The sequence below is a fragment of the Homo sapiens genome, chromosome 12 (genome assembly GCF_000001405.40).
Source record: "Homo sapiens chromosome 12, GRCh38.p14 Primary Assembly".
Taxonomy (NCBI): Eukaryota; Metazoa; Chordata; class Mammalia; order Primates; family Hominidae; genus Homo; species Homo sapiens.
The window spans coordinates 20,353,866-20,370,272 of NC_000012.12; the positions used below are offsets into that span (position 1 = coordinate 20,353,866).

Below are 16,407 nucleotides of genomic sequence, written 5' to 3' on the forward strand. Positions count from 1 at the left end.
CCTCCCGAGTAGCTGGGACTACAGGAACCCGCCACCTCGCCCGGCTATTTTTTTTTTTTTTTTTTTTTTTTTGGGATTTTTAGTAGAGACGGGGTTTCACCGTGTTAGTCAGGATGGTCTTGATCTCCTGACCTGGTGATCCGCCCGTCTTGGCCTCCCAAAGTGCTGGGATTACAGGCGTGAGCCACCGCGCCTGGCTGGCCATTCTTATTTAATACTTTTTCTTATGGAACCTTCAGTTAAAAAAAACTCTCTGGGTATCAATAATAATAAAAATCTGATTCTGGTAATTTGTCAGCATGATTCTGGCCTCTCTTTGGAACTTACCAGGCAGCATTCTTTATAGAAGATTGCTTCAAAAAAAACTTATTCTTACATAATACAACACACTAACACTTGGCTGGCAAACATGATTGTTCAATAAATACCTGTTGATTTGTTTAACAACTCCAAATATCATGAAGAGAAGAGTTTCTTCTTTTGAGCTCATCTCTAAAATAAAACAGGATAAGGCTACCCAATAATCTGTATATATTTAAAAGAAAAAGGCAGGATGACGTTGGAAGCTTGATAACCTTAGAATTCATAGCAAAACAGTTGGCTGTTAATAAGCCTTACAGGGTGACATTTACCTTGGTCAGTTTACCTAGGCTCAGAGTTTGACATCCCAGCCAAAATAATCTTGTCAGTCACCCAGAGTTTGTGAATGTCAGGGAGGCTAAACTGCATTTTCTAAATGCATAAGAGGCTGAAAAATGCCAACCTTGTTAATTTACTATGTTATAATTTAGGATTCTTAATCGCAAGTGAGAAAAATCCCAATGTCAAGCTGGCTTAAACACAAAGGGAATTTATTGATTGAAATGACCAATAAACTTTGGAAGTTTGGCTGGCTTGATGTTGAGGCTCAAACAATTACCTGGTTCTTCATCTTGGGTTAATTTTCCCCCACATATTGAATTCATTTTCAGACATGATCTCTTTTCTTAATTAAAAACTGACCACTGCAGTTCTAGATTTCACATTTAGTGTGGAAGGAATAGCCTCTCTTTCCTAACTGTTTTGGATCTTGTTGTGATGGCCCCCACGGGGTCACATACCCATACATGAACCAATCACCAGGGCAGGGAGATGGGTTGTGGGTGAAACATAGCTAAGGCAAGTGTCAACATGGTAGATAATGGGCTAGTGTCACTAAGAAGGGCAAGCAGATGCCAAAGGGCTGGAATATGTCATCCCCTCTCACACAGGGAAGGGTAAAAAGGACTTGGGAAAAGCCATACAATCTACCATGCTACTCACTGTTCAAGTACATTAAAGAAATTATGTTGCCATATATTGTTTTATACTGCCTTATTTATGTGATTCACGTTAGCCAGTCCTGAAGCCGAAAGTGAGGTCAACCTACCTTGATAGTGTGGGCTGAGTGGAGAGATTAATTATCCAACAAAGGAAATGCCATGTGTTATTTGCAAGTAAGAAAGATACTGGGGGTTTTGGAGAGGGGTGAGGAGAAGAGCAATTCTATTATGCAACGAGATCTACAACTGAATAAGCTATTCACTTTAGCCTGACCAGTGTATTTTTCCCCTAAGCAAGCTAGAAATGCAGAGATAAATTGACAGATTTTTTTCTCTTTTTGGTAGACAATTAGATTGAAGGAAAGGTGTTGTAAGATTCAAATATTATGTAGCAGCAACCGATTGTATTTTTCTTCACAATAATTATGCATCTGTTAAGTGATCTGGGCATTAGCTTGCTGGGGGCCTCATTGCAACCCTGTATGTGTCTTCCACAGCAGTAGTATGATGACAATGATAGCTGGGTTAAGCAAACTCGGTTTTAAATTTGAGACAGCCAGTTTCCAACACAGATTACTTTTAAAACTCCAATGTAGCACTTGCATGTTTGTATGTTAGACATCAGTGAACTGTATAGACTGGCACATTTTCTAACATGGCCCTCAATTACTTGTCTTTCTCTTCCATTTGCTTGAAAATGCTCATAGTTAAGCGTATGACTTTAGGAAAATCACTTAACCTTTCTGGATCTCAGATTTATCCAGTGCAAATGAAATAATGTAAATTCCAGGCATCCTTTTCATATTCTCCATCACACTTTCTCAATAAAGGAGGTCATTTAAAGTGCCTCTCTTATTTTATGTATTCTGTATATTCATATTGTACTTTTGCTGAGTTATGTGGTATCACATAAACCTCAAATCTCAGTGGCTTTGAAAACCAGGTTTATTTCTCATTCATGATGAATGTCAGCTGAGGCTCTGCTCCATATCATTTCCATTCAAGAACAAGGCCAGAGGAACAGTTTCTACCCAGGAAATGTCAGTTTGATGGCAGACAGAAGGATAATGATGACATGGGATAATTGACCAAAGCAAATCACATAGCCAAGGCAAGTGTCAACGTGGTAGGAAGTGAGCTAGTGTCACGGAGAAGGGCAAGCAGATGCCAAAGGGCTGGGGTATGTCATCCTCTCACAGGGAAGTATAGGGACAGCTTGGGGAAAACAATGCAATCTACCATGCTACTCACTGTCATAATTAAATTATTATGTTGCTATATATTATTTTATATTACCTTACTTATGTGAAATCATATGACATTTGAAAATACATTGTACCATTTTAGGGTGCTATATTTATAGTAGCCCCAGCGGGGTAGCTAAGAATATGAATCCACTTTGAGAAAAAACAATGTCAATGAGAACCAAATTTTTTCAATGCAAACTAATCATCGGTTGTGGTTCTTTGCAATTCGGTAGATGTAGGGATGATAATGAAACCTACAGAGAGGGGAAAAAAATGGGAACCCTAGGTTTGGGACTTTCCCTTTACTTTGACTTCTGATTAGCTTTTCAAATTCTGAACTTGGGTGGCACAAATCATTAACCCTCAACAAACTGAGTATCAAATATTCACCAAGTAAATAACTTAGTGAATTTAGCACAAGTAAGTAATATATGAAAATGCAGTATGGATGGGGCGGGCCTTGAGATTCTCTTTCTTCTGAAGGGTTACTGTGATGTCCAAGCCAGTCTAATGCAGTAGTTCTTGAAGTGTGATCCTGGAGCCAGCAGAATTAGCAGTTCCAGGGAATTTGTGAGAAATACAAATTTCCAGGCTTACCTTTGACCTAGCGAATCAGAAACTCTGGGGCTGAGCCTAGCCAACTCCTCCAGTGGATTCTGAAATGCATGATAGTTTGGAAACCACTGGCCTAAGGAGTGCTCTTAAGTTTCTGATACTTTAAGCCCCTCTGGGTGGGAGCTCTATTTCTATGGGGCTAATGCCCATCAGCACCTTTTCCTTTCAACTAGCAGAATCCAGATTTGTTTATAATCTCCATCCAAAACAACGTATCTTACACAGCCCAGTGTTATAAAACCTCAGCTAGGTCGTTGACATGGATTAGTGTGAGAAATATTTCTATATCACCACATATTTGCTTTAAAAATATGTTTTAGCTAGTTGCCTCAGTATGCCACTTTGACCAATGTTATATGATCTTGAAATAAAAAACCTTGTCCTATTTTAGGGTTCTACTTTGCCAGAAATATTTATGGCTTTCCCAGCTTTGCCAGGATAGGAAAGCTGCAGGGGTTTGGTTTATAGCAAGCCGACTTGTGTAGGTCAAGAAGGCCTGTGGAAAAATCTGAACTGTGACTCTTTCCCAAACCAAATTCAGGCCATGGTCCAAGGAGAGAGAAATAAACACTCAGGTGAAGAATTGTTCATTTCTTCTACAATATTTTGACGATCTTTCCTGAGAAGGCTCAATTTGAGATCGGATAAATATGATTAAAAATAAAGTTTTAGTGAGAATTGGTGAGTTTACATTTTAGCTGGATAATAGTTTACTTCTAGTCAATCTGAAATATTCAAATCATTTTAGGGTAACACCTATGTAGGAATCTATAGTTTTTTAGTTACTTTAGTACAGATATAAACTGAACCTACCAAGTCACCGTTGTTATTTAGATAAGTGTGTCTAAATATAATTTGGGCATTTTTGTACATTTATTAATAAAAATGTCTTTTATCTATTTTTAGTCCATGTTATTTTTACCATAAAAGGACGACTTCTACATCTGAGCATTTTAAGCTGTGTTTTATTCTTCTTTGAGTGTTTACTATTGATGTAGTTAGATGTACGCCCGAAGTTTTTGCCTAGTTATTGTAATATTTTCCCAAATATCTTCCATCAGAAGAAGGTACTGACCTGGGGCAGGACGTAAAAATATGGTGACATATTAATAATTAACATGGAAGTGGAAAAAGGGACAAAGGATACCTTTTGAAGTTCGTATTCACAATCTGACTTTCCAAGGGCACTTTATTCAGGGCATAGATGGATATGGTGCTACAGTTACAGAATATGAGTCAAAATAGTGCTAACTGTAAAGAACATATTTCCTAACAACTGCCATAGCTGCTGAAGTATCTTATGGTATCTCTTTCTGTCTTCCTTAGTTACTGCTCATGCTTATCACATGACCCTGCTCACATCTCTGTGTGCTGACACCCCCCGCATTACAGGATAGCCTCATCTTCATTTCAGTTCAATGGTACTTATGGTGAGATAAGAAGAAATGCATTCTCCATATTAGATTAAACTGTACAGACTTGTTCCTTCTTTTCCAGAGTGGCACTCTTTTCTTCCCATTTGACTTACTGGTTTAGACTCTTACAGCCTCCTTTTCCCCAAAAACTATGGTATTGATTTCCTGAGGGCTCTTTTAGATGACAACTTGTGTGACATATTTTGTTTCTTTCTTCACCTGTTACTTCCAATGTGTCCAAGCCCAAATTCATAAAAAATCTTATCACGTATGAACTCCTTTTCCAACTTACGTAATGCCTGAGAGGTAAAGATGTGACCCTTTTTGACAAAATGCTTTAAAACGTTAAGGACCAGTATATTCTGCTATTGCTATTCTCATGAAAATGATTAGGACTTTCAAAAATACAATCCTGGCCAACCTTCCTAAATGTAGCTAGAGATAACTATATTTGTACTATATTTAGGCCCTTCCCCTACTGTGACTTTGAGAACATATAAAAATAAAGATTTTGTTTAAAAAATAGCATTTCAAATGCTATTTTCAACAGTCATTATCTAAGTTGGCCTCTCTAGGGCTGAGAGAAAGTCAAGCCTAAGTTATCTCTGGAAATGGAGGGGTCCCAGAGTTGTGCCACGAGAGCCTCTTACTTAACAATTGGTATGCAAAATACCATGCCAGGGAGAAGCAAAGTGATTAAAGTGCAGAAGCCTAAATAATAAAATCAACACTTGAGACAGTAGATAAGACATTTTATTGAATGGAGCACTCCAGTGAGGAAGGAGCCAAAAACCACTGGTTGGAGACTGGGATATGCAGTGTTGTGTAGACTGATGGGTCACAGAGAGGTTCTGAAGCACACAGAGAGGTATACAAGTGTACAGTGTTCTTATGCACAAGACAAGGAGCACAGTTTTTAAAGTAAAAGCTGTTCCAGACTTACATAAGCACTATGTCACTTTACTTTGCATTACTGGGGTCTGGGAGCTTCCTTAGAAGCTCCCTGTAGACAAGGAGGCACAAGTGTTTGCAGAAAGGGTTGTAGGCATTTACAGGGAAAGTGAGGGCTGATGATGGGAGCACTACCGTCATCCGCTACAGTCCACCTGCTGGATCATCCAGATCCATTCACGCCCTGCTTTAAGTTAATCTGCTCTGTTACTCATTCTACAAAGGGATACCCAGTCCCCACCCACTTCACACACACACACACTCACACGCACACACACACACACACACAATTTCTAAGACAAATAGAAATATCGCCTATAGGTGATATTTCTCAGCTTCCTCTTCTGCCCCCACTCTAGAGTCTCTTCACCTTTACTCTCAGCCAGGACTTCTATTGGCCTAAGTCATTGGCCTAGTTGGGTAACACAGACCTAGATCCATGAAACCTCTGGATTCTAACTTGCCCTGTTCTTATCAGATTATTCCTTGGGATGGAAGCACCAAGGGGTATGTATTAGTCTGTCCTCACATTGCTTTAAAGAAATACTTGGGACTGGGACATTTATAAAGAAGAGAGGTTTAATTGGCTCATGGTTTTGCAGACTGTACAAGAAGCAGAGCAGCTTTTACTTCTGGGGAGGCCTTAGGAAGCTTCCAATCATGGCAGAAGGCACAGGGGGAGTGAGGCATCTCACACGGTGGAAGCAGGAGCAAGACAGAGTGAGGGGAGGTGCTACACACGTTTAAGTAACCAGATCTCATGAGAACTCTATCAGGAGAACAGATGGTGATAAACTATTTATGAAGGATCTGACCCCATGATCCATCACGTCCCACCAGGCCCCATCTCCAACACTGATGATTACAGTTTGACATGAGATTTGGGTGGGGACATAGATCCAAACCACAGTAGGGCACCTCCATGAATTATCTGAGTTTCAGTCATATTTTCCCTATCTTGATTGTGCAGCAGTAACCCTATCTGGTCATGAAAATCAGTATAGTAACTCCTTTGCTTGCTAGTCTACTGGCACGTGATGCCCAATATGTTTAGGCAACATCCAAAGTTTTGGGTATAGTGAAACGCTGTGTTCCTAGGTGAAAGATCTGCCCCAAGCACCCTCTCCTCCCAATTGTCTGAAGCTGTATGAGGTCATTTTATATTCTGTCAGGCTATCTATCATCTTCTGGACTGCCACAATGTGTGTGAGCCAAGTACTCTCAGCAGCCAGAAGGCCCTGAGCAGAGACCAGAAATAGGATGTCACTGGTGTGTATGGCCTAGGGAATACAGGAAGGGAACCGATAGCATCTGCTACAGTGATATTATAAAATATTTGTTATAAAAGGAGGCATTCAATATGAGGCTGATAACCACCAATCTATACTATGAACTATACATTTATGTTATGTAATTTCATCTTGATAGCTGGACTCTTGATTTTATCACTCGAAGTAACCTCTTATATTATCATTTAAACACCAGAAGTTTTTACATAAGGAAGGATTGAGGACAGAGAAAAGGTATAAAACAAATGTAACCTTGTGTCCTCCCAATTTTCAGGACCTTTTAACCGAGGATAGAAAAAGACATTGTAAATGTGAGCAGGACTTGAAATACTCAGTTGCTGAGCACCACATGTGAGTTTTCCACAATCAGGTGGTAACAGAGAGTAGTCTGTTCAGATCCCACTTAGTTCTACTGCTTGGGTGCAAAAGAGAACTGAATTTAGCCTAGCTGTCGGCCCAAATATATTGGTTAAATTATTGCCATTTTCATTTAGAGGCAGCTGAGAAAATATACGCCAATTACTCCCAGTGACCACTGGACTCAAGATGTCTTTTCATTCATTAATTATTAAGGATTGGACTTTTGTAAGAGTAGGTGATGGTGTGCGCTCCCTCTCTCTCTCTGTCATTTAACACCTCCTTCACAGGGGTGTTATGCGGATTTCTGCCTGTGTGGTAACGAGGTTCAGTAGCCTGCTTGGAATTTCCCAGTGGACAAGGTGTTATAAAATTTCAAAATAAAAAATATACGACTACTAATAAGGATGTTGATCTTGAAATGCAATATGAAAACCAGAGACTGGAAATTTAAAATTTGTAATGAAATGCTCTAAAGCTGTGATCTCTTCTGACCTTGGGAGTTCAGCAGGGGTGGGCCCAGGAAAGACTTGGATGGAGGATGCTGCAGGATGTGGTGGCGGTGATTCAGTAGGTGGCCCTCTTCCATCCCAGGGTGGTGCTGAGCCAACTTCAGCCTGGGTTATGGAGCACTGAGCTACAGGAGAACCATCTATTGGATGAGACGTATGACTGAGGTTCTGACCACTTCTGCTCATTAAAAATTCCAAGGCATTTTTATAAGGTTAAGGATGCATCCTTGTGTTCTACAATCTTGATCCAGTTGGGTAGGAATATTGACTTTTTAGTAAGGTCTAGAAGAAAGAAGATGTATGGAAATTTTAGTAGAATGATTAACATTTCTATGGGAGAAAATTCAGACAGCTTTGTTCAAAATTTTATCGTGAACTCTTATTTTATAGAGCAGCAAAACAAAACACCTGTTCGAGTGACTTTCTTGTTGGGGTATAAATGTATTTGTAGATGAGAAATCCCTTTTTCTCAAATAAACCTATATGAGTAAATTTAAGGGAACTCTCCAATATTAATATGCAGTAATGAAATGACTTGTATGGGTTTCTTCTGGGCTTTTCTTCAGTCCCTTGAATAACTGATATTTGAGGTATGAAATTAGATAAGATACATGGTGAGTGATAATAATTATTTTAATTTAGAATAATCTGAGACCTTTCTCTGGCCCTTTTTAACTGTGTGTCACCCGTAACTTCCAGAACTCTTAATTATGTATTATCTATATCTTTTTATGTACTATATTAATTATAATAACAAAATCAGAACAATGCCAAATTAGCTCTCAATAGTAAATGGACTAAAATTTCTCATTGATGGACCTTTAGAAAGCAAAAAATAAAACAAACAAGAAATAAAATTTAAAAATCAATGTAAAGATTTGGTCAGGAAGCGGAGACATTATCGGAGAAAACTCACATTCTTACCTATATTTTGGAGGTCCTCCCTTTTCTGGAATGGGAGAACCACATTTATTTCTTCCATGCATCACTTACTGTTCTTACTGAGCTCAAAATGCCCTATTTCTAGATTTTGGCTAAAGGAACTCATTGAGCCTAAGCTCTGTATGTAATTTGCCATTTCTGTGGAAAGTTACCATAGTTCTGTGGTTCCGGTAGAATGAAAAAAATGCCTTACAGTTTCAGGCAGAGAACAACTCAGATTAACTAGTATGAGCACTTCCTTCTTAGTCACTGAATACAAGATATTGATTATACTGACAATCTCAGATGATGCTTCTTTTCTGAACTTCGTATTAGTGGGAGAGATAATAAACATTAAGCATTTTGATTTTTGTATTTGAGTCTAAGTCTTTAAGTGTAAATAATAAGTATTTTTAGACACTGATTATTTCTTTTCTACAGGTTCTACAGGTAATTATTTTTTAAATACTGTATTTTAACACTTTTTCTCTACTCTCACAACATAGTTGTTTTGTGAAAGCCAACCAGACATTTCATAGATATACCTAATGCTAGATGACGAGTTAGTGGGTGCAGCGCACCAGCATGGCACATGTATACACATGTAACTAACCTGCACATTGTGCACATGTACCCTAAAACTTAAAGTATAATAATAAAAAAAAAAATGAAATTGCCCTTTTGAGGCTAAAGCTTTGGGGGAGGAAAGAATTTGAGAGATGATATAACAAATAGCCCTAGATTCTGTAAGATCCAACACAGCCACAAATAAAAAGAGAATTGTAAATATAAGTAAGATAACTAGTCAAGTGACAGTATTTTTAATTATATTTACATAAAGATGAGTGATTATTTAACTCATTTTAAAATTCCATTCTAATTTTAAACATGCATTCTCCTTAGATAGTTATAAAGGAAAAGAGCAGTAGGTGATCAATTACTCAGGGTAGATTTTCAATTAGTAAATTATCTGTGTTCTTTGTTTCTATTTTCCCTTCTATTAACTGCCTAATTTTAGACATTTGGCTGCTTATTAGAATTTCCTCCAAAATGATAAGGTAGCTTAAAACACTCCATTAATACTTAGAAACCTTGGTAGATTTCATGCAAAAGAGCATCACATTTATAGATCAAGGAAGTTTCTACGCTGTATATAAATTTTGCCCTGGAATCCTTCTGTCACATATATAAAAAGTAGCAGTTTGGGTGCTATTATAACACTTACAGGTAAGTAAAACTAACTTTAAAATGTAGAGGTGTTGAAATATAACAAAGAAATAGGCTATACTTATATTTTCCTTTCTATCAACAACCTTCATAGTTTTTCTCAATAATACACTCTAGCTTAAAAATGCAAATCATCCTTAATTTCTAACATTTTAGACTGGCCTGTACATCAGTAGCTGCTGTAAACCTGAACTATTTGCTCATGAAGTCAATAAGAGCTCAGCCTTTGACTGTTTATCAGCAATTTATTGGGCAGGCACTGCATTTTAAGTGGCAGCATTAAAAAAAAAAAAGGCAGATGATACATCTAAAAATGCAAGGTTTCTGCATTTTTTCCCTGACTATATGTGAAATAATAAGTATTAATAAGGTCCATGTTGGCAAAATGTTTACTTTTTTAAATCTTAAGTTAATCCCCTATTGTTGTTAATTGGCACAGTTGGAGACTATGTCATAAATCGTGATGTGAGCTATGACATCTTAGTCACTCATATTTAGGTATCTCCTAATTTCTCAGCTTACATATTACTGAAATGCAGCTTTACATTGCTTTATCCCTAAGCCTACCAGAAAACTGCTAAGGATTGTAGACATTTCATCAGGTAATCAATACAAAGTTTTCAAAACTTTGACAATTACCTATTTCTCTAATAGATGAGTAATTTAAGTATTGATATAGGCCCGCACTGCTAACAATGTTTTGGTCAATGACAAACCACATATACCACAGTGGTCCCATATGATTATAATATGGTACTTTGTGCCCTTTCTATGTTTAGATACACAAAGATTTACCATTGTGTTACAGTTGCCTAGAGTATTTAATACAGTAACATGCTGTACACGTTTGTAGCCTAGGGGCAATAGGCTATACCATATAACCGAGGTGTGTAGTAGGTCACACATCTGGTTTGTGTCAGTATACTCTGTGATGTTCACATGATGAAATCACCTGATGACGCATTACCCAATCTCAGGTATTCTTTCATAGCAACAGTAAACAGACTAAGACAAGCTTCCACCATGTGCCAGGCACTATTCTGGTAATTGGAGATACACAGCAAACAAGACAGCTATTCAGAGTCCTTGTTCACATGGCACTAACACCCTAGTGAACAGAGATAAATGATAAGTGAGAAAACAAATAAACGAACAAGACCATTTTGTATAGTGATAAGTGCTATAAATACAATGAAACAGGGTAGTATGATAGTGAAAGAAAAAGTGTGTATGTGTACATGGGGTGTCCAAAAATTTTTGATAAGATTCTTGGAAAAAAAGCCTTTCTAAAATAAAGTAACATTTGAGGTTAGACTTGATGGAGCACAAGGGGCCAGCTATGTGAAAATCTCTGGATACCAAGGCCCTGAACAGGGTTTCCCATTTCACATGTATGAAGAACACAAAGGTGGCCTGAGGTATTAGAGATGCATTCTCCATTCCTTTAGACACTAGCCAAGTGAATGTATTAAAATTTAAATTAAAATAAAATACAAAAGTTCAGCTCCTCAGTGACACCAACCATGGTTCAAGTATTCAATGGCCACATGTGGTTAGTGGCAACCATGTTGGACAGCAGAGGGTCTATTTGTCATTGAAGAAAGTTCTAATAAATAGTACTTCACCAGTGAAGTAGGAGCATTGGAATAGGAGGAGAGGTCAGAGAGAATTACTTGGAAAGATCATGAAGGTCCTTGTAGGACTGTCATGAGGACTGTGATGAGGACTGCATTCTGCAAGTACGATGGGTAGCCTTTGGGTAGTTTTAAATAGGGGAGGGACATAATTCAATTTATATTTTTAAAGTGTTACTCTGCTATATAGAAAATGAATTATAAGTAGGGCAAGATCAGTTAGTTACTGCACTTGTCCTGGCCAAGGAAGATGATGGGTCTTTGGCAGGTTATTATAAGAGGGACAGTGAAAAGTAAATGGATTTAGAATATATTTTAGAGACAGGATCAAGTGGATTTCCTAATCGACTAAAAGTAAAACAAGATAAACAAAGGAAAGAATCAAGACCCGTTCCCTCTTCTGGGGCCTGAGCAACTAGGTAGATGGTTATGTTCTTTACTGGGATGTAACAAGATTGAGAAAATATAGTTTGGGTGGGTAGGGGATAGGTAGGAAGGGAATTGTAAGTTAAGAATTTTGTTTTGGATACCTTATGTTTTAGGTACCTATTAGATATAAATATATAATAATCAGATAGGTAGCAGAGAATGATTGAACCCATACTACGGAACGTAAACTTACTGAATTTTACAATAGAATCCCCTGACGCTTAACTATATTTAATAAAGCTCAAATGTGAAGGGTTAGATCCTTTTCCCAAAAAACTGTAAAAACATGTTTGCTAGATTTGACTAAGTGGAAGATTTATCAAGTAAAACTTAAATTTTTATTTCTGTTGTCCATGCTCTACTATTTTTCTGCACGTACAACATTTTCCTTATTCTTTGGCTGTGTTGTCACTTTCTTGAACTAGGACTCACCACTATCTGTAGAAAAGAGGCAGTGTTTATATGTGATTGCTCCCTATCCAGTTTATGTATTGCAGCTTATTTCATTTAATATACTCTGTTAAAGGTACATTATTAGTCGCTTCTTTCAGTTAGTATAGCCCTGCAGGTTTCTGCATCTCTCTAACATTAGCATTTTGTTGTCTTTGTTCACTTGCCTCTGGGTTCTGGATGGTATGGGGAGAAAAATCTACCTTCTTTCCTTTTGATGGGACAAATAACTTTTTGATTATGATTTGTTAAAGAAACCTGGATGCCAGGACATTGCCTCCTTATTTTATTGAAGAGTTCCAGGATGTTATTAACACATGGATTTAGAATATTCTTGTTTTGCTGCCATTAGCAAATGCCATTTTTTCCTGTTACAACTTTTAAAAAACATCTGCTTCCCATACCTTAAGTGTTCAGTTTTTATGATAATATTATATTAAATTTTCTAAAGAACTGAGATAATTGTGGGGGTAGGGGACAGATAAAATTGAAATATTCTAAAATTTCCCTTACTATGCTTTTCTTTTTAACCTTGATATATGCCAGATTTTTGGTTTATTATTTTAATATGTTATTTTTGATGCCAACAGATATGAATGATTTTCCAATCAAGGTTTTTCACTCCGATGTGTCCCAGGTAGGATCTGGCATATGAATCATATGTCTAAAAAGGAAACTCATGAAAGTATGTGTGCGTGCTAGGGGGCTCATTTGTCTTTGGCAAAGACATTGCTGCTCCTGTTTCCTTAATTATTAAACAGATGGTGCCCACTGCCATTGACTAGCTGCCCAACTCATACTCCTGTGTGGTAGCACAATTCTGGACATCTGACAGAGAGAAGCTATACCTTTATAGTATATCTGCCTTCTACTAGAACAGGCTGCTTCCCATGAAGCTGTTTAAAACTTAAGTCATCTTCTCCCCCTGTCCCCATAAATTAATTTTATCTCAAGGATCTCCTTTTGGCTTTTTTTATTGCTTCATGTCTACATACAAAATACAGTGGCATATTGAATCAATTATCTAAATGCTCTAGGCTGTAAATACACTTTAACCTGGAATGTCAAGATAATTAAGACAAAATTGGATTATTAAGATTATTATTAGTGAGGGCAAATGACATCTAAGATAGCCATGTTAAAAGTGGAGTATCATATTAAAAAGACAACTAGATCCCAGGGAACATCAATAGAGTTTAAGTCCATTGAACAGATACTGAATTCTTTTTCATAATCTGCCAAAAAAAGGTTAGCTTGAAAATTTTCTTTTAGTTTCTCAAATATCACACTGCTGCAGTACACGAACCTTTACTCATTAATAACTAAGGTCCTGATTTTTTTCATATGCTTTGCTCGAAGATGTAGTATTTTGCAGCCATAGACAGTCTTCTAAGATCTCTCCTAGTGTTAACCCACCTATCCTCACCTCTCCCTTGAGATTTTTCTTTATTTTTTGATGAACTATCTGGGCTTTTAAACTTTGTTAACCTTTTTTGAGGATACGGTCACTTAATCTCAATGTAATTTTACTTTCCACAGTCAAAAACTATTGTGTAATACTCATGCACTGGATTTAAATGACTGCTGCCTCTCCTTCCTTTCTTTTTATACTATTGTGGTCTAGGTAAGGCTGATTCTTCCATCATTTGAACCAACAGGCCAGGCTTGGGTTCTCATAAAGCAGACCTTCCAGCAGGAGCGACCAAAGGATGACACTGTCACCTGAAATTGGACTGCTGTTGTACCTGACTTGGGAACATCTTTGAATCAGACAGTAGAAGTGGCTGTCATTTTCAGGGACAGTAGAAAGTATGTTGGCTCTCATCTGCCAAGTAGGCAAACACAATCTTTTTTTTTTTTTTTTCCTTCCAACGTTCTAGGGAGCTCAGCCTCAGGGCTAGCCGCAGCCCCCCACACCCCGGGGCTGCGGTGGGCTGCGCGGTGGATCAGCCTCAGCAGCCCCTGCTCCAGCCTGTAGGGTGAACCGGCCGCTTTCCCAGCAAAGGAGCAATCGAGCTGAGGGTAGCGCCTCCTCCGCAGGAGGGGGCGGGAGCTCGGCTGAGAAAGCTTTCCTAGGGAGTTGCCTTAAAGAAAGAAAGCGGAATTGTCGATCACTCCAGTTGCCAGTTTTATACAATTTTAAGCAGTCGTCGCCACTCGTTTCCCCTTTGCAAAACTGCAAATCACCACCAACCTTGCATCAAATAGAAGTGGGGAGGGAAAAAAAAAGCAAATCTCCTTCTCCCTTCTCACCCTCCCTTTCTTCTCACCCTCCCTTCCTCTCTTACTCGCTCCTTCTCCCTCCCTCCCTTCTGCGGCTGCCGCTAGTCTCTCGGTCTGGCTCTCTCTCCGACGGGACTTAGCAACTTCTTATTTCTCAGCCCCTTGTCCATTTTTTTTTTTCCATCCTTTGCCATGAATTGGATTGACAGAGGCGGGGGAGGCTTTGCTTTCTGCCCCAGGGAATGGCGATTCGCGTCCTGGGGCCGTGCCGGGGAGAATCGGCCGAGGAGAAAGAAAGAGTGATAGAAAAAGAGCTGCAGGAAGGAGGAGAAGGGAGACCTCCATCTGCCGCGGGCCCGGCGCGCTGCAGCGCAGCGCAGCGCCGAGCTGCGCCTCGGAATGGCCCGGAGCCCGCCCTGCGCCCCCGGCTCCTCCAGCGTCAGCGGCTCCTGCGCGCGGGATGCATTGGGCAATTTTTGAAATCCTGAAGTAGGAAGAGACCCCGGAGGATATAAGTCGGGGGTGGGGGTGGAGCAGAGAATCTGTGAAAGATATTCAAAGAGAGAAAAGGGGAATCCTGATCGTTTCTGCCCGTGCTTGTTTTCAACTTGAGCGTGCTAGCCTTTAACTTGAAGAAGTCTCATTGGAGCATCTAGCATTCTCCAGGAGTTATTCGAAAGCTGAAACTTTCAGTGGATTGTGGGCCTGGGGAGAAGAAGGATTCCGAGGGTGGAATTGGGAAGAGCGTGCGTGCGTGTGTGTGTGTGTGTGTGTGCGCGCGCGCGCGTGGGTCGGGGCGGGGGCGTCGGGGGGCCACTGGGAATTCAGTGAAGAGGGCACCCTATACCATGGCAGTGCCCGGCGACGCTGCACGAGTCAGGGACAAGCCCGTCCACAGTGGGGTGAGTCAAGCCCCCACGGCGGGCCGGGACTGCCACCATCGTGCGGACCCCGCATCGCCGCGGGACTCGGGCTGCCGTGGCTGCTGGGGAGACCTGGTGCTGCAGCCGCTCCGGAGCTCTCGGAAACTTTCCTCCGCGCTGTGCGCGGGCTCCCTGTCCTTTCTGCTGGCGCTGCTGGTGAGGCTGGTCCGCGGGGAGGTCGGCTGTGACCTGGAGCAGTGTAAGGAGGCGGCGGCGGCGGAGGAGGAGGAAGCAGCCCCGGGAGCAGAAGGGGGCGTCTTCCCGGGGCCTCGGGGAGGTGCTCCCGGGGGCGGTGCGCGGCTCAGCCCCTGGCTGCAGCCCTCGGCGCTGCTCTTCAGTCTCCTGTGTGCCTTCTTCTGGATGGGCTTGTACCTCCTGCGCGCCGGGGTGCGCCTGCCTCTGGCTGTCGCGCTGCTGGCCGCCTGCTGCGGGGGGGAAGCGCTCGTCCAGATTGGGCTGGGCGTCGGGGAGGATCACTTACTCTCACTCCCCGCCGCGGGGGTGGTGCTCAGCTGCTTGGCCGCCGCGACATGGCTGGTGCTGAGGCTGAGGCTGGGCGTCCTCATGATCGCCTTGACTAGCGCGGTCAGGACCGTGTCCCTCATTTCCTTAGAGAGGTTCAAGGTCGCCTGGAGACCTTACCTGGCGTACCTGGCCGGCGTGCTGGGGATCCTCTTGGCCAGGTACGTGGAACAAATCTTGCCGCAGTCCGCGGAGGCGGCTCCAAGGGAGCATTTGGGGTCCCAGCTGATTGCTGGGACCAAGGAAGATATCCCGGTGTTTAAGAGGAGGAGGCGGTCCAGCTCCGTCGTGTCCGCCGAGATGTCCGGCTGCAGCAGCAAGTCCCATCGGAGGACCTCCCTGCCCTGTATACCGAGGGAACAGGTAAGCACTGGCAACTCCTCTCTCGGCT

General features: G+C 40.8%; 1 protein-coding gene and 1 long non-coding RNA gene across 4 annotated transcripts in view, besides 1 other annotated feature; one reads left to right on the forward strand and one right to left on the reverse strand.

Annotated features, from left to right (window-relative positions):
• Positions 1-5,309: 5,309 nt before the first annotated feature.
• Positions 5,310-16,391, reverse strand: PDE3A-AS1 (PDE3A antisense RNA 1). The gene is made up of 2 exons (NR_186033.1): positions 15,976-16,391; positions 5,310-7,969 (listed from the first exon to the last, which is right to left on the reverse strand). It is a non-coding gene; the product is annotated as a PDE3A antisense RNA 1 (long non-coding RNA).
• PDE3A (phosphodiesterase 3A) overlaps positions 14,672-16,407 on the forward strand; it is a 320,047-nt gene continuing 318,311 nt past the window's right edge. For all 3 annotated transcript variants that reach the window (NM_001378408.1, NM_000921.5, NM_001378407.1), the window contains exon 1: positions 14,672-16,379. Coding sequence is in view for 2 of the 3 variants with exons in the window: in NM_000921.5 (NP_000912.3) it covers positions 15,420-16,379 (960 nt within the window). In the remaining variant the exon portion in view is untranslated. The remainder of the gene's footprint in view (positions 16,380-16,407) is intronic.
• Positions 15,710-16,004: a silencer, noted in NCBI's record as "tiled region #8059; HepG2 Repressive non-DNase unmatched - State 10:DNaseD, and K562 Repressive non-DNase unmatched - State 24:Quies". NCBI's record gives its function as "represses a minimal TATA promoter and a strong SV40 promoter by Sharpr-MPRA in HepG2 and K562 cells {active_cell/tissue: HepG2 | K562}" and the evidence as "EXISTENCE:reporter gene assay evidence [ECO:0000049][PMID:27701403]".